Source organism: Homo sapiens, chromosome 1 (assembly GCF_000001405.40).
Source record: "Homo sapiens chromosome 1, GRCh38.p14 Primary Assembly".
NCBI classification, from domain to species: Eukaryota; Metazoa; Chordata; class Mammalia; order Primates; family Hominidae; genus Homo; species Homo sapiens.
Genome location: NC_000001.11, coordinates 43,685,478 through 43,708,743, shown reverse-complemented (window position 1 = coordinate 43,708,743; position 23,266 = coordinate 43,685,478). Strand labels below are relative to the sequence as shown.

At 48.7% G+C, this 23,266-nt stretch overlaps 2 protein-coding genes and 1 long non-coding RNA gene across 59 annotated transcripts in view, besides 5 other annotated features; 1 reads left to right on the top strand and 2 right to left on the bottom strand.

Annotated features, from left to right (window-relative positions):
• Positions 1–1,208, bottom strand: part of ST3GAL3 (ST3 beta-galactoside alpha-2,3-sialyltransferase 3) — a 223,624-nt gene extending 222,416 nt beyond the window's left edge. For 50 of the 57 annotated variants that reach the window (NR_073021.3, NR_073018.3, NR_146867.2 and 47 more), the window contains exon 1: positions 1,051–1,208. The gene's annotated coding sequence lies outside the window, so the exon portion shown is untranslated. Of the gene's footprint in view, positions 1–611 lie in introns of all 57 variants that reach the window. The other 7 variants (XM_047428185.1, XM_047428273.1, XM_047428232.1 and 4 more) reach the window with 3 other exon arrangements.
• Positions 741–790: a silencer, noted in NCBI's record as "silent region_790". NCBI's record gives its function as "represses an Ori minimal core promoter by ATAC-STARR-seq in GM12878 lymphoblastoid cells {active_cell/tissue: GM12878}" and the evidence as "EXISTENCE:reporter gene assay evidence [ECO:0000049][PMID:35858748]".
• Positions 821–1,320: a silencer, noted in NCBI's record as "silent region_789". NCBI's record gives its function as "represses an Ori minimal core promoter by ATAC-STARR-seq in GM12878 lymphoblastoid cells {active_cell/tissue: GM12878}" and the evidence as "EXISTENCE:reporter gene assay evidence [ECO:0000049][PMID:35858748]".
• Positions 821–1,773: a biological region, named in NCBI's record as "H3K27ac hESC enhancer GRCh37_chr1:44172642-44173159".
• Positions 1,256–1,773: an enhancer, noted in NCBI's record as "H3K27ac hESC enhancer chr1:44172642-44173159 (GRCh37/hg19 assembly coordinates)". NCBI's record gives its function as "activates a minimal SCP1, AML or CMV promoter by ChIP-STARR-seq in primed H9 embryonic stem cells {active_cell/tissue: H9 hESC(primed)}" and the evidence as "EXISTENCE:reporter gene assay evidence [ECO:0000049][PMID:30033119]".
• Positions 1,403–9,020, top strand: KDM4A-AS1 (KDM4A antisense RNA 1). Its single transcript, NR_033827.1, has 5 exons — positions 1,403–1,685; positions 4,287–4,391; positions 5,097–5,180; positions 6,016–6,088; positions 7,992–9,020. It is a non-coding gene; the product is annotated as a KDM4A antisense RNA 1 (long non-coding RNA).
• Positions 1,451–1,530: an enhancer, noted in NCBI's record as "active region_922". NCBI's record gives its function as "activates an Ori minimal core promoter by ATAC-STARR-seq in GM12878 lymphoblastoid cells {active_cell/tissue: GM12878}" and the evidence as "EXISTENCE:reporter gene assay evidence [ECO:0000049][PMID:35858748]".
• The window catches only part of KDM4A (lysine demethylase 4A), a 55,370-nt gene continuing 35,329 nt past the window's right edge, over positions 3,226–23,266 (bottom strand). Inside the window, exons 13-22 of the mRNA NM_014663.3 lie at positions 19,649–19,830; positions 17,695–17,899; positions 17,172–17,248; positions 16,433–16,488; positions 14,642–14,750; positions 13,850–14,035; positions 10,731–10,901; positions 5,008–5,127; positions 4,632–4,724; positions 3,226–4,514 (exon numbers count right to left, since the gene is read on the bottom strand). Of these exons, the coding sequence (NP_055478.2) occupies positions 4,374–4,514; positions 4,632–4,724; positions 5,008–5,127; positions 10,731–10,901; positions 13,850–14,035; positions 14,642–14,750; positions 16,433–16,488; positions 17,172–17,248; positions 17,695–17,899; positions 19,649–19,830 (1,340 nt within the window). The 3' untranslated portion in view covers positions 3,226–4,373. The remainder of the gene's footprint in view (positions 4,515–4,631; positions 4,725–5,007; positions 5,128–10,730; positions 10,902–13,849; positions 14,036–14,641; positions 14,751–16,432; positions 16,489–17,171; positions 17,249–17,694; positions 17,900–19,648; positions 19,831–23,266) is intronic.

The following is a 23,266-nucleotide window of genomic DNA, read 5'->3' as shown; positions in this document are numbered from 1 at the left end:
AGAGATTCACCACTTAATATCTCAAAATATCCTTAAGAATCTCTAATCATAGGAGGAGCTGTATTGCCTTAAGAGATTATTTGAAAGTATCATTTGGCTATAAATTTCTGTGCCAGCTTCCTTTTAATCCTCTGTTGACTTGAAAGTACACCAAACATTTCAGTGATCATCTCTACAAGATAATTCTGCCTTAGAAACAACCTAATTTGTCATGGGGACTATCTTACTTTTAGTAACCTAATAAGAGTTTTTTCCTACCTTAATGTCCAGCTATCTATAATTCACAGTACATCCACTGAAAAGTTTGAGTATTTTACTTTCTGAGGTAATAGCCGCCTTCACTGGTCCTTCCCTCAATTAATTACATTCAGTTATCAGGTTTCACTCCTTCCTCATACGTGAAGGAAACATAAATGAGGCTTACTGAGGAATCATAAAAATGGACATTGTTGTAAAAAGGAATCCAAAATGTTCATGGGACACTCTCCTAACCAAACCTGCCCTCCTCACTAAGATATTTTCTCTTGCAAGCAAAAGCACCGAGGACACAACGGGGGAAAGTGCCAGAAGGAAAGGAAGCAAGAGAGGCGTACTTTGCCGATCAAACTGACCCCAGTTCTGGCCCCCGCTAGAGCAGTAAGCAATGACAACCGCTACCCAAACGCTGCCGATTCCCGCTCAGGCGCTCCCTGGACTTTTCTTTCCTTTTCCCACAGCAGGGCCCGAATGACGGTGTCCGTGCTCTGCGCCAAGGTGCGCAGCGCTGCGGGGTTTCACACGGAGATGATCTCAGACCTCCTGGCCTGCGTCCGGCCGGCCTTTCCCCCAGGCTCGGCGGCCCCCACCCAGGAGAGGTCATCCAGGTACTGGGCCCCCAGCCCGAAGGACGACTGGGCCGTGCCCCGACCCCGCCTTCCCGGGCACTAGCGCGCGGGCTCCGCGCCCCGCCCAGCCCGGGACCCGCGGCCGGCGGGGGAGGGGCGGGGCGGAGCGGCGACCGTTATTCGCGGTCAGCCATCGCGCCCCGAAGCGCACTGGGCAGGCCCTTACCACAGCGGAGAGGGAGGCAGGGGGGAGGTGGCGCCCGGCCCGACGCGGGGCAGGAAGGCGGAGGCAGCGGCGTAGGCGGCGGCGACAGCCGCGGGGGACCCCGGCGGGAGCCCACAACGCGCTGGGCTGCATGGGCGCCGCCATAGTGGGGACGCAGCGGCGGGCGGAGCGCGCGGCCGCGACCCGGTCGGGCGCCTGCGACCAATGGGCTCGCGGAAGCCGGGCGGAGCGAGGGCCTGGCCAATGCGGAGCTGCGCTGCCCCGAGCAGCCCAATAGACGCAGGAGCCGCGGATTTGCCGTCCCGCCCACCCCGCCTACCACGAGAGCAGTGCTGCGGCGAGTGCGGGGCGAGAGGTTCGCGCTGGTGGAGCACCCCAGCTTGCAGGTTCAGCGTGGGTGTCTCTCCCGGGCACATCGAGCTGTCTAGAGGAACCCTCTTCCCCTGGCTTCACGGCCCAGAGGACGCACGGCTCTCTCCCCTCGAGAGCGTGTTTCGTCGCCCGCGCGGGGAACGCAAAGTGCTAGGGTAGTCACGGCCACTTCACGCCGAGGGACATCTCATCTCGCCCTCCAGGTCGTGAGCGCACCCATTCCGCTCACTGAGGCCGAAAGCTTCGGACCTCCGTGGGCCCTGGTGGGTAAGGGGGCACGGGGGTGAGCGTTAAGAGACTCGTAGAACATTTTTAGTCCGCGCGTGGCACAAGGCCTCCAAGCCCCACGTACACTTTGCAGCCCTCCCACTCCTTTTTCATTCCTGCGGCTGAGCCCTGGTGTTATCCGCCTGGGGCGGAATTTAAAACTTAATTCCTCAACAAAGTCGGGGTGGTCTTTAAACTGCAACCTTGGATCCAAAGGCCCTACCTTACAAAGGGAAGGCAGTTTGCCCTACAAAAAGGCTTCTGGGAGGAGCTGCCTAAGGCAGGAAGGGACTGGCAGGCCGGGAGGTGCCGCTTTTGGCTGGGGCCAGTTCTCTTGAGGTCGACCCGACTGCATAGGCAGCCAGTAGGGGAGAGAACGGGCCGGTCTGTGTGATTTGGATCACCTGAGTTGCAGTTTCCTAAGAGTTATTAGGTTGACCAAAAAAAAAAAGTGCAGTTTCTGGAAAACTGGTCAGCTGTTGAGTAAAAACTGCTGGGATTAAACCCAGCGCCCACCCCTGGAGGCAGTGGGGTCATCGAGAAAGGTAGGGATCCTGTGTAAAAAGGCTGGTGAAGTGTTCCTCTCTTCCAAAGATGTATGGATTAGTGTTCTCTCACCAATCCACTAAGGCCTGGTTCTGCCCAGCCTCCCTTGCTACATCCCCTGGGAATCCCCAAGTGGAGTGTGGGCAAAGAAAAAAAAAGGCCAACTTCCCTCCCTGGGCCCCAGGAGGGAGCTGACATAGAAAAGATCACCTCCTGCACCTCCCTTTCTCCACAATGAGATACCAAGTAGCAACCACCTCTCAACCCCCAGGGACACAAGGAAGCATCCAGAGCAGCTGAACTGACCTAAGCCTCTCCTGCACCTGGACAGGGCCATGCCACAGGAAGTGCCTGGCTGTTTAAGGGCCAGCCGGTGCAGCTCCGGGGCACCCAAGTCCTGCACCTATTCATTGCCCCCCTCCCTGCTCTGTGGTTCCCCATCCTTGTCCACTTTGACCTCAGGGATCTACCAGCCAAAGGAGATTGGGTCTTCCTCCAGGGAAGCTTCTCACCAACTAGACAGCTCGGAGAGCAATCTGAGGATCCCACTGGAGGTTGAGTCCCTTGCTTTTCAAGCACCTAAAATGCACCCATCCTTCCCACTGGTTCCACAATTTGTATAGAGCACAGATGCTGGCATGAACTTAGGCCAGTTCAACAAAGATGTATCAAATGGGGCAGCAGTGAGAGATACTCTGTTGAGAGGACTCATTGGTCTGGTGCTTCCTCTGTTACCTCATCTTGCCCGTCTCTAAGGCAGAGCAAGCACAACAAAGAGGTGCTCAGAGCCAGAAGTGTCCCTGCTCCCATGACCCACCATACTTGGCCTAATACAGAGCTTGACAAGCAAAGGACCCACTCTCTGGAACTTCCTAGGGAATGCCTTACTGATTTGTCTTAAAATACACAGCCCCGCTCCAGAGCCTATGACTCTAGATACACCCCCCAGCCTGACGTGGGCCACGTGGGCTCCTTGGGGCAGACAGCCAATCCTCTGCTCAACACATTTTATTGCTAAGGACAAGGTGATGCACCAGTTTTCAAAATAATTTGGTTTATAGTGTTCATACGTAACAAAAAAGGGGAAGTATTATAAATCTGATTCTTGTATACACAGGGTATTGGTGTGAAGCCCTCCAATCCTGGGCCCAGGCAAACAAATTCTTGAGGAGCAAAAACCTGTTTAACCCCTTCAGTATTGCCCTCTAGTCCCACCCCCCACCCCAAAATCAGCTCCCTCCCACCTACAGTGGGCCTCCAATGGCCCCAGTTTTTTCATCCTAACCCTCCCAGCCCCTGCATGATTGCAATTTTCTGTTGACAGAATCACCCACCAGGCTCTGCCTGCTTCCATCATTAAAATCCCCGATTCAGGGTAATCCCCACCCACACCCTGTAATACTTTGCCACAGGGGCTCTGCACCTAGAGTGTTGTGGGCACACACCCATGTTATCCCCATGTTCTCCTTTAGGGGAAGACAAAGAGGTGGCATCAGCTCCTTAGCATCTCAATACTGCAGCTTTGCCAGCACTGTCTTGAGACGGTTCCAGGCCTGGACAGATGCCACACCCATCTCCAGCCAACCCCCAGGAGCCCTTACTCAGCTCAGCTGAGGGCAGAATTTCACATTTTGTTTGCCCTGCATAGGCAAGGAAGAAAGTAAAGGCCAGGGGCTGGCAGAAGCTGGTCCAGACCAAACATACACGCACGCACGCACGCACGCACACACACACACACATATAAATACAAAAGTAGGGGTTGGGGCAAGTACCAGCACCTCAGCCTAGTCGGTGCAGGTGATAGTTATGAAGCTAAGTCCTAGGCCAGGAACAAGGCAGCCAGTCCAGCCAGCATAGTTGACCCCTCTATGGACTGGGGCCAGTGCAGCCACAGCATTCCAGTGCTCAGCCCCTCAGCTGGGAGATCAGCGACTGCTGCCACGTGCCCAGAAATGGCTCGTCCTTTCACTACAGCGGAATGCAATGAGGGTGGGTGAGAAGATGATGGGTCGGTTATTTCATTCCTTTTCTTTTTACAACTTCACTTTCAGAGACTTCAGCGTTCCATGTCTGCTGTGCTGTGGAACCCAGAGTGCTCTTGCCTGGATGGCTGAGAATCCCTTGGACCCTGGAAGCACCTACTCCATGATGGCCCGGTATAGTGCAGGCTCAATATAATCTTCCCGGTATCTTGAGTTGATAACTCGTTGCCGTTTCTTTTCTTGCTTAACCTCTTTCTCTGTGAAAATCTCATTGAAGCGCATGTCTGAGGCTACTGACTATAGAAGAATAAGCAAGCCAAGTGTCAGCTACCCCAGGAACAATACAAAGGGATGCATCCTTGACTTGTTCCCTCCCTCCAAGACAGGAACTGGGGGGACACAGAAAATACTCACCAGTCTAGATTTGACTCTCTTGGGAAGCTCTTCATCCAGTGTGTATACATCATCTCTCTTAACCACAAGTTGTGAGCCATCCTCAAACTCCACCTACCAAGGAAACAAAGGCCTTTTGGCTAGGATATCCCTGACTCTTTCCCTGGTCCACCATGCACAGTGGCAGTCCCCTACAGTCAAAGGAAGGAGTTAGAACACTAAAATAACAACTACCTTACTTCACATTTGGCAGACTGGAAACAGGGCAGACCCCTAGCTCTGAAAGGGTTACCAACCTATTAGTTCTCCTAAGAGCAAAGACTCGCCTCTGGCCCAACAGGAAGCACAGAATTAATCAAGCACCCCCCACTCCCTAGAAAGGTAGAACTTTGGATACCTGGTACATTTGGATAGGGTGGGAGGCCACAAACTTGGCTCCATAGACTTGGCCGTCTGTCCATCTCACTTGGACCACTTCCCCTTCAGCAGGAGGACCAAACTGGAGACAGTCCTGGCTCTGAGGAAACAGGAAGGAAGGAGGGTGAAAGGAACGTCCACCTGCACACAAAGGTAACTGTCCTCTACTCAGGGAAGAGTGAACCAGGACAAAGTAACTGTTTTAGAGAGCAAGGCAGCTCTCTGGGCTGAAAAATGTTAACAGTTAAAGACCTTGCTAAGTCAAAGTCTGCCCCTATCTCTGCCCTCTCCTGCTTCTAGGTGACCAAAAAAAAAAAAAAAATCCAGCTATAACAAACTTAGTAAACACAGGAGTTAAGTGCCAGAATCAAGAGTCCTTCTTACATTCCCTCAACTGTTCCCCTGCGGGTTCTCCAGGGCTCTGCCATGAAGAAATACTAGAACCATACTCAACTATAAGACATGTGTTTTTTTTGGCCAGGCACGGTGGCTCATGCCTGTAATCGCAGCACTTTGGGAGGCTGAGGCAGGCAGATCACCAGGTCAGGAGATCAAGACCATCCTGGCTAACATGGTGAAACCCCATCTCTACTAAAAATGCAAAAAATTAGCCAGGTGTGGTGGCAGGCGCCTGTAGTCCCAGCTACTCGGGAGTCTGAGGCAGGAGAATGGTGTGAACCCAGGAGGCGGAGCTTGCAGAGAGCTGAGATCACGCTGGAATACAGTGGCCTGATCTTGGCTCATTGCAACCTCAGCCTCCTGGGTTCTAGCAATCCTCCTGCCTCAGCCTCCCGAGTAGCTGGGACAACAGGCACGTGCCACCATGCCCAGCTAATCTTTGTATTTTTAGTAGAGACGGGGTTTCACCATGTTGGCCAGTCTGGTCTCGAACTCCTTACCTCAGGTGATCTGCCTGCCTCGGCTTGCCAAAGTGGTGGGATTACAGGCATGAGCCACTGTGCCCAACCAAGAAATATGTTCTTAACAGGAAAGATGAAAAAGAGTCACCTACCATGGGACCTGGCAAAGTACTTCAGAACTTTTATTCCTTCCAGAAGCAGGTAAGTACCCCAAGTCCTCATCGTATTCCCAGCATAGGGCTTGGTATACGGGGGGATATTTCATTCAGCATATTGGCTGAATGAAAGGTCTGATAGGTATACCTGGGAGAAGGTCCTTAGGGACATGGCTTAAAAAATGAGAGAGGGGCAGGGCAGTGAGTCTAAAAGGATGTGGATGCTCACATCTGCTCTTACAATCATGCTACAGTTCATTTATTGAGTGGAAACAGTTCCCTACTTATTGACAATTCATTTACTGAATAGGTAATCAGTAAATACATTTTGTATCAATCTAACAATTAGGCATAAACTACAGCCTCCTACACCCAATATCTGAGGTGTTCTAAGATTTAACTACTCAAATGTTTGATATTTGATAAATTGTTTAAGTTCTCTGCAATTCAGTTCCACCTCCTATAACAGCACTTCTGAAAATGTGGTCTGTGAACCTCTGAGGGGTTCCTGAGACACTGTCAGGGAGCAAGTGAGACATGGCTATTTTTATAATATTAAACTATTAGCCTTTGTCACTGTGTTGTCATTTACCTAGGATAGGTACAACTGCTGGCACCTGAGCACAGATCAAGGCACTGACCCTAAGCTCTACTAGTTGTTATTGCATTTTTCACCACTGTACACTCATAATTTAGGAGAAAAGAGCAAAAACTCTAGATTGCATGTAACAATATCCCTTGATGAAGCAGTAAAAAATTATTAATGTTGTTAAATCTTAATCATTGAGTACATGTGTTAAGTCCTCATAAGACACTTTTGGTTGTCTCAAAGAAATCTATCTGTGTTGTTTGAGTTGTGAATTACACTAGCTGCTTTGTTCATGGAATACCAGTTTTATTTGAAAAAAATTACTAGGCCAGGCATGGTGGCTCATGCCTGTAATCCCTCACTTTGGGAGGCAGAGGTAGGAGGATCGCATCAGCCCAGGAGTTCAAGACCAGCCTGGGCAACACAGGGGAGACCCCATCTCTACAAAACATAAAAAATTATCCAGGTGTGATGGCACACGCCTATAGTCCCAGTTACTCGGAAGGCTGAGGACTGCTTGAGGCCGGGAGGATGAGGCTGCAGTGAGCCATGACCATGCCACTGCACTCCAGCAGTGGTGCTGCGCAACAGAGCAGGACCCTGTCTTTAAAAAACTCTATGAAAATTTAAAAAAAGAAAAAAGTGACTGACAAACTATGGCTTTTCAGACTTAGGTATCTGGCAGACATCTTCTTGAAAATGCATGAAGTGAACGCCTGTCATGTCAAGGAAAACAAAAGTCAGTATCTGTTGCCAATAGTAAAATTCAGGCTTTCAAACAAATATTAGCATTTCAGAGAAGCGGCATTCACAACTGTGAGCTTGAAACTTCCCAAAATTCCAAGTTTTTTGATTATTAGTGATACTAACAAATGTAATTTTTAAAATATTTATGGCCGGGCGTGGTGGCTCATGCCTGTAATCCCAGCACTTTGGGAGGCCAAGGCGGGCAGATCACGAGGTCAAGAGATTGAGTCCATCCTGGACAACATGGGGAAACCCTCTCTACTAAAAATACAAAAATTAGTTGGGCGTGGTGGCGTGCACCTGTAGTCGCAGCTACTTGGGATGCTGAGGCAGGAGAATCGCTTGAACCCGGTAGGTGGAGGTTGCAGTGAGCCAAGAACGCACCACTGCACTCCAGCCTGGCGACAGAGCGAGACTCTGTCTCAAAAAAAAAAAAAAATTAAATTTATAATAATATTTAACAACATTTGGAGGCTGTCGATAGGCCAGTGCACCAATATTTTCTAAATGACCAAAGTATGATGTTATAAAAGGATGCATGGGTGAAAGATCCATTCAGAAGAGACCAATGGGTTTTAGTGTTAACAGTATGAAACGTTCACTGACCTTTCAGATTCCACACTGCAACTAACTTTTAAGAACCTGCCAGGAGCAGTGGCTCACACCTGTAATCCCAGCACTTTGGGAGGTTGAGGCAAAAGAAATCGCTTGAGCCCAGGAGTTTGAGACTACCTGGGCAAGATGGCAAGACCCCATTTCTACAAATAGCCATGCATGCCTGTAGTCCCAGCTACTCGGGAGGTGCTTGGTCAACAAAGCAAGACATCATCTCTTAAAACAAACAAACAAACAAAAAAAGTTGTTACTTCCATTGAGTTTTGGTGGATATCAGAGAATAATAAACACAATTACCTGAAAGACTATTAAAATACCTCCCTTGGCTGGGAGTGGTGGCTCACAGATGTAATCCCAGCACTTTGGGAGGCCGAGGTAGGCGGATTGCTTGAGCCCAGTTTTGAGACCAGCCTGGGCAACAAGGCAAAACTCCATCTCTACAAAAAATTAAAAAATTAGCTGGGCGCCAGTGACAAGGGCCTGTAGTCCCAGCTACTTGGGAGGCTGAGGCAGCAGAATCACTTGAGCCTGGTATGTGGAGGTTGCAGTGAGTTGAGATCACTGCACTGCACTCCAACGTGGGTGACTGGAGTGAAACCCTATTTTAAAAAAACAAAAACAAACTCCTTTTTCCAATTACATATCTACGCAAGGCTGAATTTTCTTCCTATACTTGAACCTAAACAGTGTATCACAATAGATTGAATCAAGAAGTGACATTAAGGCCAGCGCGGTGGCTCACGCCTGTAATCCCACCACTTTGGGAGGCCGAGGCGGGCGGATCACGAGATCAGGAGATCAAGACCATCCTGGCTAACATGGTGAAACCCCATGTCTACTAAAAATACAAAAAATTAGCCGGGCATGGTGGCGGGCGCCTGTAGTCCCAGCTACTCGGGAGGCTGAGGCAGGAGAATGGCGTGAACCTGGGAGGTGAAGCCTGCAGTGAGCCAAGATCATGCCACCGTACTCCCGTACTCCAGCCTGGGCAACAGAGCAAGACTCCATCTCAAAAAAAAAAAAAAAAGACATTAAAGAGATTTGCAAAATTGCAGGGAAATGGCAATCTTTTGTTTTTGTTTTAGAAAAGTTATTTTTAATCTAAAAAAATTGATTATTTTAAATCAATCTGCTTTAATTTCTAATAAGAATAAATACGTTTAGATGTAACCCAGAGAAACACAGGCTCTTTGGGGTCTCTAACTTGTAGAAAATGGAGTCCTGAAACCACTGTAAGTTAGAGATAATACCACATCCTTCTCACAGTGGGTATGAGAAGATAAAGAGATACTTGAAATAACCACTTAGCATAGTGCCTGGCATACTGTACCAGCTTAATAAATTACAGCAAGGGCCAGGTATGGTGGCTCAAACTCTTGTAATCCCAGTGGTTTGGGGGCCCAAGATGTGAGGATCGCTTCAAGCTGCGAGATCGAAACCAGCCTGAGCAACAAAGCAAGACCGTTGTTACTACAAAAAATTTAAAAATTAGCCAGGTGTGACTGCATGTGCCTGTAGTCCCAGCTACCTGGGAAGCTGAAGCAGGAGGATCACTTGAGTTCAGGAGTTTGAGATTGCAGGAGCTATGATACAGCCACTGCACTCCAGCCTAAGTGACAGAGTGAGACCTGGTCTCTCTCAAAAAAAAAAAAAAAAAAATAAGGCCAGGCACAGTGGCTCACGCCTGTAATCCCACCACTTTGGGAGGCCAAGGTAGGCAGATCACTTGAGCCCAGGAGTTTGAGACCAGCCTGGGCAACATGGCAAAAGCCCGTCTCTACAAAAAATTAAAAAATTAGCCGGCTGTGGTGGTGCGTTCCTGTAGTCCCAGCTACCAGGGAGGCTGAGGTGGGATGATCACCTCAATCCAGGAAGTTGAGGCTGCAGTGAGCTGAGATTGTGCCACTGCACTCCAGCCTGGGCGTCAGAGTGAAACCCTGTCTCACAAATAAAATATAAATAAATGATAGCTATGCTACTGCTATGAGTACTACTAATGTCGCCTTTTCTATAAGTCTACCTTATAACTAATGAATGTGCTTTTAGCAACTGAGTGGCTAATGTGGTATAAACATGGGACAATACCTGATTTGTTAAAGGAAAAAATGGTTTCATTCCTCTCTACTTTGGTGGTCAGTCTACCAACTGAAAAGGCAAGGTGGGGGTAGGGGAAACCTGAACTAAGTCCTCACTACCAAGCCAGACCTAGGACTGGGTCCATGTGGGGCCACTGTGTCTCAGGTGTTGATAACATAAACAGGCCAAGGGTGTCTCCAGGCAGTTTCTACTTAGCCCTAAAGCCCACTGTGAAGAGACAAAAGCAGATTCTATACATCTACTAAGAGGGCCTGATAGAAAAGAGAGTTGGATAATTCCCCTAAAATCACACAGCTACTAGGCAATGAAGCTGGTATTGGCATATTTGATTCCAAAGCCTGGGCTCTCCTATTGCACTAGAATGCCCTCAAGGATAATTTAGACGGCAACAGATGCAGGTTTCAAGGAATTGCAGAAAATACTGATTCCCAGGTACTTCTAGGGAAAATAGGGTACCCTAGCAGCACGCAGTTTTCTTTGCAAAGAAAGACTGGTACAGATGATTCTTTCTGTTTGAGGACATGGTGATGGGACCAGGGACCTGGCTAGAAGAAGCAGGCATACACACACAGTCTGCCAGCCAGACCTTAGAAACATCCCCCCATTCCAAACTGCCTGAGAAGCTCCTTGCAGATATTACCACTATGTCCTCAGGATAAAGATTGTCGCTGAAGGAGCCATCATCAAAGTTGACTTCATAGAAGGTCTCGGTGGTGAGCCTGACCACTTCACACTGGTAGAAGCGCCCGTTCTTATGCTTGCTAATGACTTTCTGGCCTGCAGTGATGCTTTGCAAGGCCCCCTTGGCACGCTGGAAAAAAACAGAGGCTTTGGTTACTCACACGTGGAGTTTGCAGGCCTGGCATATGGAGATGAAGATCAATTAGTTCCTCCTTATCAGGGAAAGATAAGCATGGGAAAGTAAAAGTAAAAAGGAGAGAAGAGATGGGAGCTAAAACAAGCCTTTCCAGATACCCACCATCCCAGCCAGGACATTGGAAGAGACCAGTACCACATTTCCTCCATAAATTTAGCTCTTCCCATAAATTTAGCTAGTCCACAACTGGCCCTTATACCATATTATCTTACCCAGAACTCTCTGAACAACAACATGGACCTCTGATCTTGCCAAGAACTGACATCAAAGTATCGAAGGAGAGACTCAATAGGTGCCCTGAGGCCTGGGCCGCCAGGCAAAGCTGCACCACATCTTAGCACCTGCAGCATTACCCTCAGGGCTAGGGCACAAAGACTTAGGTTTCCCAGATGTCTCCAGCTACACACAACAAACTGTCCCCCATTCCAAGGGCCCTGCCATTGCCATCTCTGGTGCCCTCAACCATGCCCTTCTCATTCTGAACTTGCCCTTGATGCAAACAGGATCACAAAGTATGTGACGGCCTCATTTCCAAGCACGCCTGCTAGCCTGCCCAGGCACTCTGCCCCAGCCATGCTGGCCCCCCTTGCTGTTCCCTGAATGAGTGTGCCATATGTGCTGCCACCCAGGGCTTCGACACTGCTGGTTCTTCTACCTGAGATGCCATTCCCCAGTTACTTGCACACTGACTCCCATCCCAGTGTCAACTTATTGATGTCATTCCTTACTACTTCATCTTCCATTCCCCTTATCTGACTTAATTTTTATCCCTGCACTTCTCACCATCTGCTATACTGTGTATTTACTTGCTTCTATGTGTCCTTCAACTATACTGTATGCACCAGAAGGGCAAGGACTTTTTTGTCTTGTTCAATGGTATAGTCCTGGCACCTAAAACTGTGCCTGGCATATAGTAAATGCTCAATAAACATTTGAAGAATAAATCAGTGAAAAAACTACTAACTCATCAGTCCCCCCAATTTCCTCATAGCACCAGCAGTCTACAGCTGCCAGCTTAAGCATGTGGAGTATTAATGATTATCACAAAATAACTATTCTGTGTATGAAAAAACTCTTCCCTATCATAGCTGTGACTCAGTACTACCTCAAGTTTTTACTTGCATTAAGGGCAAGTTCAGAATGAGAAGGGCATGGTGAGGGCACCAGGGATGGCTAGGGCAGGGCCCTTGAGACACTCCGGAGTCTCATTCTCACATACAATATGTTCCCATCTTCCTAAGGTCCTTCCTATCATACCCCTGACCACCTGTCACGTTCAACATCTTTATGAAAAAGAATGCAGTCAGCCAACCAGGACTTTTCTGCAACCCCAAATGGCAGAGTGAAAAGTTCATCCTTCTGGGCTGGCCATCTATCACGTTCTTCCTTTGATTATGTATTTACCACACTGTTGTCAAACTTGTATGATCGCCTCTTCTATTAGATTGTAACTCACTCATGGCAGAGCCTTCCCCAACTACGGTCTGGCTTCTGACCTGACTACTCCACAGGGACACTCCAGTTTGTGGTACTTAGTGACCACCACACCAGCCCTGCCTTCTCTGTTGGATATGACCCTCCTTCCTCCCACTGGCTTGCTTCACTTTCTCAACTGCTTTCACTGGTTCATGCTCTGCTACCTGCTTCTCCCACTGGGAATCTCCAGAGCCCAGTTTCTAATGGGAACTAGATTTAACTATGCTGTTAAATGCTAATAGCCAAATCTTTACCCTCACAGTTACTCTCCAGAATGCTCCAGTGACCTCAGCATTTACTTTCCTCTTTCTCATCCCTCCTTCTCTCCCTTGCAGAGCAACACTGCTTCATCTCAGTTCCTGATTGCAGTTACTAACATCATATTAGCATCCTTCCCATCTCTCAAGGGAGTAACCTGAGTCATCTTCAATATTCACTCCCCCTTTCCTCCTCCTCTCCCCTTCTCTCCTCAACCCACGAGGGTCAATAAACCCTATCAGTTCTACCTGTTGGAGGATCTCAAAGTTAAATGTACCCCAAAGCCCTGCCTATGTGTTCCCATTTCAGACCTCACTCTCTCCTGGACTAACTGGTTTTCCAGCCTCAAATTCTTACTCTGAATCCTCTCTTCAAACAACCACCTGAGTGATTATCAAAAACTATAATGCAGAATCAAAATATTCAACAAGTTCTCATCCAGTGAAGACAGGTCAGAGTCCTGAGAGTGGCAGTGCAGGGCCTTCATCCTCTGCCGTTGTCCGCCTCTCAAGCATCACACTCCCACACACCGTCACACTCCCATAACCAGTCTTTCATGATCCTTCTTCTGCGACCTGTTCATTCTGTTTCTCAAGCTCTGCACACAACAGTCTCTGCATACAATTCCTTCTTATTGTTTAAGACCCACTTCAAATGCCACCGTCTACCCAATCCTCTTCAGAGCTCCTCTAGCTAACATTACATGTCACTTTTTCTCTAAGCTTTACCATTAAGAGAACTGCAGAAATCTCTACTGTCTGGCAATTCATGGTTAACTCTTGGGAGCTCTCCCCATTTGTTCTCAACATTTTCAGAGGTTCTGCATGTCCCGGACACTAGGTTAAGTAATAAGGATGACCACATTAATAAGATATGGACCCTCAAGGAGTTTATTCTGATGGAGAGGCAGACAAGTAAAGAGATAATCAAAACGAATCAACTACAAGCAGTTTGGTGTCACTGGCTTATGGAGTACAAGGCAGGGAGTGGAGATGGACAGGGGCCACCTCTCAATCTCTTAACTCATTAGCACTCTTCATAATGCAGAATGCTTGAGGAAATAGTTGCTGATACAACAAATGGAAAACATGCAGAGAAAATGACCATGAAAACTGTCAAGAGGATTCTAGAATGACACCCTCTCTCACCTCCAAATTAGGAATCTTGTGCCGAAAGCAGGTAATGAAGACCACAAAAGGCCAGTCGTCAGGCTGCATCATCACACCGGCAGCCTGGGCGCAGCTCACATGGAAGGCAGTTGGGCAGCGGCCGTGAGAACACTGCACACAGCAGCCAGCAGTTCTTTTCCTCCGCTTCTTACAGAAGATACATTTCTGTAGCACAGGGGAAGAAAACCAGTGATTGCAGGAACTGGCACTGCAGCTTCCTCTGTTGTTCCCCTCCCAAATGCAAAGCCAAGCAAGCAAGAGCCAGCCCCTTCCCAAAATACAAGGACACACCAGCCTGCTCTAATCCAGGTCTGGTTACAACTTTATCTGCCAAGGAAATTTTTTTTTTTTTTTTTTTGAGACGGAGTCTTGCTCTGTCACCCAGGCTGGAGTGCAGTGACACAATATCGGCTCACTGCAACCTCCGCCTCCCGGGTTCAAGTGATTCTCCTGCCTCAGATTCCCGAGGAGCTGGGATTATAGGTGCGCACCACCACTCCCAGCTAATTTTATATTTTTAGTAGAGTCGGGGTTTCACCATGTTGCCCAGGCTGGTCTTGAACTCCTGACCTCAAGTGGTTCACCCACCTCGGCCCCACAAAGGGCTGGGATTACAGGTGTGAGCCACCACACCTGGCCTCCACTAAGGAATCTAACCACAGAGTGAGAATCACAAACTCTAACCAAAACCAAGGGGTACAGGAGGTCCCTGTTCTCTTCTACCCAGAAACTTGTAAGTCGGGAAATTATGTAGAGTCTACAAGCCCTTACCAGTTTGAAGCGGGGCAGGGGGATTTTGCTCACATCCACCGGACTTCTTTCTGCAATGTTGACAAACCTTGCTTCCAGAATTGCCACAGCACATGAAACGTGGACCCACCTGCCAAAAGGCAAAGGCTCCCTCAGTCACCTCTGGGCCCAAGGCTCTGTGGCCTTCTCTTTTGGGCCTGCTGACAGCGCTTCCTCCCTCACCTGGGTGACCACTGACTTCCACCAGCACATGCCTGGGACCCAGGAAGGTGAGAACCAGAACCGTCTCTCCTCTGAGTATGTGGAAGCAGTGCCACCCCCACTGCCCACCTAGGCCACTGCCCACTGCCCTAGGTTAGCACCGGATCATGCTTCTTACACCACTCTGTTGAAAAATGAACAGAGCTGCAGGCTAATGGTGTGTGGCAGGTCTCAGGGAGTGAGAATAAACTGGAAAGCTCTATGCAGACCTCTTTACCATAGGACCCAAGTGCTTCCTGAAAACGTCCCCGGCTGTGCCCTAATCTGCCAGTAATCACAGCTCTCTCTCGGCCTCTGCCCAAACCTCTCCCCCAGGCTGAAATGACCTCTCCCTTCTGCTCCCTTTTTCCATAGCTGACTCACTCTTTAATCTTTAAGGTCTGACCCAAGCCCCACTTACTCTGAGAGGTCTATTCAACGGACATCCTTAAGAATTAAAGTAAGTTTTGGACATTTTGGGAAACCAGCATGCATCAAGAGGAGAAGAACGAAAATGGTGACAACTCTTAAAACCATGCTACGTGAAAACCTACACCAGACAACACTGGGGCTCCATGGAAGCTCTCTGCAGTTCTAGTGGGGCTGTCTTTTTAGAGTGGGAACAGATTTGTTCTGTGTGGCCCTGGAGGGCAGAACAGGCATTCAGAGGTAAAGGTGAGAGATTCAAGCACAGCCATTTCCACTCCAAATAAGAAAGAATGTTCCCAGCACTATCCTGTGACTGTGAGGAACCCAGTGACCTCAAATAATGGCAGCAAGTGCCTTTGAAGGAGCAGAAGCAGCAGGCAGAGTAGCTATCTCTCAGGGACAGCATAACTGGGACTCTTGAGGGCAGGCGGCTGGACTGAACATATGCTGCAAGTTGCCACGGGATTCTACTTGGAAGCAGGATACTCAGCACTGACCTGCACGCACCATGCCCTAGACAGCTAGCTCTTCCAGGTCAGAAACCTCATTCATCTTACGTTTCCACCTCAGAGCAACCAAACACAAGCCTAAGCACAAAGATTCACTCCATGAAAACGAGCTGCCCAACAGCTGAGAAGCCCAGAAAATTCAGCAGATTCGGTTCCATAGTGGGTGGGCCTGTCTGAGCTCTCCTCAGTGTCCTCCTTGAGCACACTCGCCTCATTCCAAACAGCAGGTCTGAGCCAGGGAGTTTGCCATGTGGAGAAGTGCTTGCTAGCCTGTGGCCGCCTCTGCATACCAGCCCCAGCTGTGACAAGGTGAATGTCCTCACTCCAGCCCACACAGTCCCTGCGCATCATCTTCGTCTTCATATTCTCATGAGTCCATTCTTAGCTTCTCCAAAGGAGGATGTCACTGACATCTCTGCTGCAGAGGAGCAGCTGGAGTTGGAAAGTCTGGGACTGCTTGGCTCCCTTAGCATTCCATTTTTAAAATGAGTCTTGGAGATGCTATTCCTGCTCCACACGATGTGCTTCCCAAATCCTCATCAGTCATTCAGAAGAACAGCTAGTACCCTCACAAAGACACTGTGTGCTTCGGAACTGAGCCTGTGCATTCCAAGGCACTGCTCAGGAAACTTACCTGTCATCATTTGCTCTCTGCAGGGCCCCTCCTCGTAATGAGCATAAACAGCAGTCCTGCCAAGAAAGGAGAGGGAGGAAAAAGTGGTTAATACCAAGTCATTAACATTCAATCTGCTCTCCCCTGGACCTGCTTTGGGCAACTCCTCCACATAAGAAAGAAGCATAATAGCATGTGGGGCTTCACCCAGGCAGCCCCTGCACCAGGACGCCCTGTCAGAAGGAGAGGCCACTCAGGGCTAAAGTGTGCCAAGTAGTCACGTGACTTCACATAATCCTCTTCATTGTTGCTGCTAATAACAACTCTTAGCAAAGTCACAAAAGATACTTTGCTCAAACTAGAGGCATGACAGGGCTCTGACTGCTTCTTATATGGGCTAGGTACAGCCAGGTTCCAGGGGGTACAGTGAAGAGAAAACAGCACAATGAATCATCTGAGCCCCTTTCTGAGGCTCCAATTCAAAATGGCTAAATTCTTTTAAGGGAGTTATTGTTCCTCCACAGGAAGACCACTAGTTGGTCTTTCCACAATGGAGCAAACACAGCATCCAGACTCCGTAAGTGGGCAGCAACCATTCTCACGGTCATAGGATTTACTCTCACAATACTCGCTCTCTGACATCACCGCGTACCAGACCCTATGCAGACTGCTGGGAATACTGAGTCCAACATGAAATCGTCTGGCCCTGAATATGCACCAAGACTCATGGTGAAGACAGTAACAGTGTGGGATCACTCACCTCCTCTAGGGCATTGGCTGAACACCGAGAACACATCCAGTCTTCAGAAGCCTTTGCAGGGGGGACCCCATAGCAACCTAACAGGGACACCAAGATGAGCAAATTAAACCCAGTGGTCAGAGTCAAAAGGTAGATTTGCAATTCCTTTCCATATACCACCTCCCAAAGCTACAACCAAATCTCACAGAAACCCCTTAGTTTTCTTTAGTCTGAGTCCCCAGGGCTCAGGCATACAGTATGGCTCAAAGTCTCAAAAAGTCAAAAACTGTAGATTCACTGGTACAAACACCTAGTAAGTGGCAGGGACTAATCCCTTTCTGCTATCTGCAACCAAGAGGATGGCAAAGAGATGACTAGTGCCAGTATGGACCCCTGGAGACAGTGAAAAATCAGCTAGCAACAGACTCCCCAATAAAACATCAACAATCTTTTTGGGGCTGGGAGGCCAGGAGGTGGCAAGAACTTCCAGTGAGCAGGCCCATACTCCTGGGACAGGACACAGAGAAAGGTGAGCAGCACTCACTGGCATGGACCCGGACGCTGCACTTCTTGCAGGAAACGAGTATGCTGGTGCCATCCTCCTCAAGATAAGGAGTAGAAAGGTTGATGTCCGTGCTGCAGCCAGTCGAAGTGAAGCACATTTCTGGAATCAATGGCTTGGTCCTCTGCTTCTGGGGGGCTAAATCTGAAGCATTTCCACAGTTCTGATTAAAGCCTCCAAATTCAACCTAAGGGGAAAGAACAAGTGTACACCTCAGTGAGCACGTGCCTATGCTCTTAGCTTTCCACCTGCTCTATCAGCAGAAAGCTGGCTCTCTTACCGATCTGACTATGGCTACAGCTCCCGGGTGCACAGCCATTATCCCGGAGCTGCTAATTGAAGTTACCTGTAATGACTCAAATTCAGTTTCTCACAGCAGCATCATACAAAGGCCCCTAGGGGACAACTGAGAAAAGGGAGCAAGGTAAGAGGCAACTGGGATTTCAATCTTCCCAAAGAAAGTGGTTAATAAAATGCACTGAGAGGCCAGGTGAGGTGGCTCACGCCTGTAATTCCAGCACTTCGGGAGGCCGAGGCGGGTGGATCACCAGAGGTCAGGAGTCCAAGACCAGCCTAGCCAACATGGTGAAACCCCGTCTGTACTAAGAATCCAAAAATTAGCTGGGTGTGATGGTGTGTGCCTGTAGTCCCAGCTGCACTCCAGCCTGGGCAACAGACTGAGACTCCGTCTAAAAAAAAAAAAAATGCACGGAGATGTTAGCAGCTAGGCTGCTACTGTGGGCTCCCTTACGTGCTACACTGTGCGGTGACCCCACCTCAGGAGTGTACCCAGAGCAGATGCTCCTAGTAGGCCAGCACTAATTGCCTCTTGTGCCTGTCAGCAGGTCACCTGAACTGCAGCACTGTCACATGGCTGGAGCCCCACCTGTGTGATTCCTGGCTCAGGGTCCCTCCAGGAAGAACTTAAATCCACATACTTCCCTTGGCAAACTATACTGATTGCAAATATCTGCTGGATGGCACCTGCATCTCCATTCCAAGGATGAGGCCCAGAAAGATGTCAACCCCAGAGCCTATGCCATTTGTGAAACTCCTACTTAGTAGATCTGCTTATAGTAAGAACCCAGCCATTCACTCCCCTCATAGGCAAAGGCTTTGGTTTTGCTTTTTGTCAATGGAAAGGTTTAGTGAGTTCCTAATCCAAAGTGTGTTGGTCTGAGGTTCCATTTTCAGCAAGCATGAATCTGGGGCCCTGCCAGGCTCAGCGGCAGCCATGCCACTTTAACCACCACAGCAGGTAAGGACCACTTACCTACCTGCTATGCTGTGCAGGTCCCAGCTGAGACTGAGCTGGTCCCTTGGCACCTGCTGCTGTGAATGCCTTCCTGGCATCCTAGAGCTGGACCCAAAGAGATCCACCAATGAAGCCACAGATGCCCCAGAGCAGGAGGCACACAGCTGAGCTCAGCAATCTTGCTTCCCAGCCCCTCCTCACATATCAGGCCCTTGCTTCCACCCCTCCCAAGTTCCTTCTGCTACTGGCAACACGCATTGTGGCAATGGGAAAGGAAAAACAACATTAGAGGATCTGGCTTTTCAGCTGAGGTTCAGACTGTGGTAAGGAAATCACAGTTCTCCACCCTGGCCAGGACTATAAACCACTTGGCAGGAATAACCACGGACTAGAATAACAGAAATGCAGATTGCTCTGCAAACTGATGTCTGTGATGACTGCATGTGCAAAGGGGAGCCTAAGCCCACCCTCAGCTCATCTCCAAAGCATTCTCAATTGAAACCCACGTTGCTGGGTTATCTGCCTGGAGAAGACTGACCAATACACAGATGGGGCAGAGAATGCTGGGGGTGGAGGTGGCCTTTCCCAAGACAACCAGTGACAAGCTATATACTCACAATTAAATCTAGCTTCCCTATGATTGCTGGTCCTGGGTAAACAGAGTGCATGGAGCTGGGTTACCTGATGATAAGTCTGGAAGATCATACAGACAGCGCAGTGAGGGGCCTGTTGGGCCATGGTCTCATTGAATTCCTTCTCAGCCTCAAAGTTTGGAGGTCGGTTCTGCCACAGTTGGCTCAGAGGCTTGGCCCAGGCCTCTGTCTCCTCAGCCTCTTCCTCAGGGGTCAGCTGTTCAGATGTCTCTAGAGGAGGAAACAGAAGTGTGAGTCAGCACTAACCCTGCACATCTGTGGCTCTGCCTGGAGAACAGATGAGTTCCACTAGGACTCCTGATCCTAGGTTTGGACCAAGGGTGACTCCTGAATTCCTAAGGATGATAAAGGCAAAGGGTGGAAGCAACTGTCAATAGACTCCTTCAGTATCTTGATGATGTGTAGGGAGTCCTGCCAGTACCCCATTCTCTGGCCAGACTGACTCATGGCCTCCATTCTTCCTCCTGCCCCACGAGCTCAGCTTGCTCTACTCTCCCTTAACAGCTGCCACATTCAGCCCTTCTGCCCAAGGACAGCAGAATGAAGCACCATCTTGCCAAAAACCATCTTATTTGCTGCCTCCAAAACGTCAGCCTGTTAAGTCCTTTACCTTTTAGAGTTTTCCCTTTAGTGCAACTAAACAAGGAAGGAAAATAACAGGGAATTGGCAAAGCTTAAAAGTTGTAATATCATGGTCCTTGGCCAGGACTTACCAGCTTCCTCTGGAAAGGTCAGCAGTATGTACCTATTCTGGACAAGGCTCCCCAACCCCTCCTAGAGCAGAGCTACATGTCCAAGATGAATCCTCTTCCCAGCCACAAGATGTGATGCCTGACGCTGGCAAACAATATCCTGCAGGCTGAATCCAGCCCACTGAGGAAGCTAAGAATTGTTTTTACATTTTTATGATGGGGTCTTGCTATGTTGCCCAGGCTGGAGTACAGTGGCTATTTACATGTGCGATCATAGCTCACCACAGCCTCAAACTCCTGGGCTCAAGTGATCCTCCCATCACAGCTGCCCAAGTAGCTTGGACTACAGGCATGAGCCACTGCACCCAGCTTTGTTTTTACATTTTCAGCATTGGGGCTTAAAAAAAAAAAACAGTGACAACCACAGAGACCAATGAAGACTGTAAAGCCTAAAATACTGACTTCCTGGCCCTTTATATATCCCTGGTCATGACAGATGGTGTCTCCTAGGTATGCTAGACAGCAGGGCATACAACTCATCAGACTTCACTAAGGCCTGGGAAGGAAAAATCCCCTCTGGGTGCATCTTCCTACAAGAAAGGGGACATACTGCTGAGTGGAAAACAAAAAAAGTTTGCTCACAAAACTCATGTAAGTGATAAAGGTGCACACTTCCCAGTTCTTCCTAAATCAGTGAAACAGGGGCATAGTCCACAAGCTCCCAGCAGAAACAAGGAAACAGAAACAGGGAAGTAAAGGAAACGCCATAATTCTGAAGGTATAAGTAAATGAGCGCAGTCTTTGGTAGATGTCCAAAATGTTTCTCCAGATGCTCTACCATGTGAGGGAGGTATGAAGCTAGAGTTGCTATGCCTTTCTTTGGCAAGTGTGACCAAGCAAGGCCCAAGTATGCGGCCCCTGACAGGAGACTGGCTCTCTGCCAGCCCCATCACACGGGGCATCCCAGGGGATCCATGCATCTCGCTTTGAATGGCATCATCAGTCCCCAGCTATGACCCTCCTTCTTCCCAAACAGAGGTGCTTTCCCAAAGGCCCCTGAAACCTGTTCCAAGCAGCCAAGGAAAGCTCTGGTCTGTACTTCCATTAGGTGCCTGTTTCTTCATTTCTGGCAACTCCAGCTCAGTGCAGATAGTATTCTACGCTGCCCTCATAGTCATGTTTAATCTGAAGGCATCTGGCAGCTGCCATTGTGCGCCGCCTCAGTGTACCCTAAGGACACCAACGCAGACAATTAAAATCAACCCCTATATGCCCCATCGTTCAGTTGTAATCAGGAGCCATGGTGCCCAGAACCCAAGCACAGATTTTTTTCTTTATCCTGGCCAAACAGGAGTGACCAAGATAGAATGGAAGAAACAGAAACAGACAGGCAGGCTCACACTCACAACTAAAAAATTAACACACTGACATCTGTTCCATTTACAAAGCCAAAAGTGGCCCCAGATCATTCCATTTGTGAATACTGAATGATGAGGGAAAATGTTCACTACGTTAAGTGAAAATTGCAGGAAGCAAAATTATACAGTTTACATATGTAAAATTTCATTGAGCTGTACAGTTAAAATGTGTGCATATCACTGAATTGTTATGCTTGAATTGAAATTTTTTTAAAAGTAGGGGGAGGGGCATACAACAGTAAAGAAACATAACTTCCAAATACAGTATGTGACCTTAGTTTGATTTATATTAGAGTTCAAAAGAAATAACTATAAAACACATTCTTGGGACATGCAGGGAAAGATGGGCATGGACTGAAGATTAAAGGATATTGTGGGGCTGGGTGCGGTGGCTCACGCCTGTAATCCCAGCACTTTGGGAGGCTGAAGCGGGCAGATCACTTGAGGTCAGGAGTTCGAGACAAGCCTGGCCAACATGGTGAAACCCCGTCTCTACTAAAGATACAAAAATTAGCTGGGCGTCGTAGCACACACCTGTAATCCTAGCTACTCGGGAGGCTGAGGCAGGAGAATCACTTGAACCCAGGAGGCAGAGGTTGCAGTGAGCCAAGATCATGCCACTGCACTCCAGCCTGGGCAACAGAGTGAGTAAGACTCCGTCTCAAAAAAAAAAAAAAAGGCTGGGCGTGGTGGCTCACGCCTGTAATCCCAGCACTTTGGGAGGCCGAGGTGGGTGGATCACAAGGTCAGGAGTTCGAGACCAGGAGGCAGAGGTTGCAGTAAGCCAAGATCACACCACTGCACTCCAGCCTGGGCAACAGAGTAAGTGAGACTCCTTCTCAAAAAAAAAAAAAAAAAAAAACAAGAAACAAAAAAAAGTAGGGGGAGAGGTTGTGTATTATCTCAACTGCATTATTTTAAAAAGATATACATGGACATACTCTAATATCTGACTAGAGAAAAGCCAGGAAGATAATATGTTAATATATTCAAAATGGTCATCTTTTAAGGGTAATTTTGTATTCCTCTTGGTAACTTTTCCAGTTTCCTGAAGTCTATATTGCTTTAAACCAATCAGGGAGATAGGCAGGTGCTACCCAGAGAACCTGAAGCTCCTGTCTGAGCTGGAATAAGAACACAGAGAACTTCCTAGGACCTGACTCAGGGTCCTGCCACACTTCTGACTGGAGGACAGAAGGGATATTCCCCACCCTGTTTATCATGATCTTTTTTGTTGTTGTTGTTGTTGAGACAGAGACTCGCTGTCGCCCAGGCTGGAGTGCAGTGGCATGGTCTCAGCTCACTGCAAATTCTGCCTCCTGGGTTCATGCCATTCTCCTGCCTCAGCCTCCCGAGTAGCTGGGACTACAGGCGCTCACCACCATGCCCAGCTAATTTTTTGTATTTTTAGTAGAGATGGTGTTTCACCATGTTAGCCAGGATGGTCTCGATCTCCTGACCTTGTGATCCACCCGCCTCGGCCTCCCAAAGTGCTGAGATTACAGGTGTGAGCCACCACGCCCGGCTATACCATGA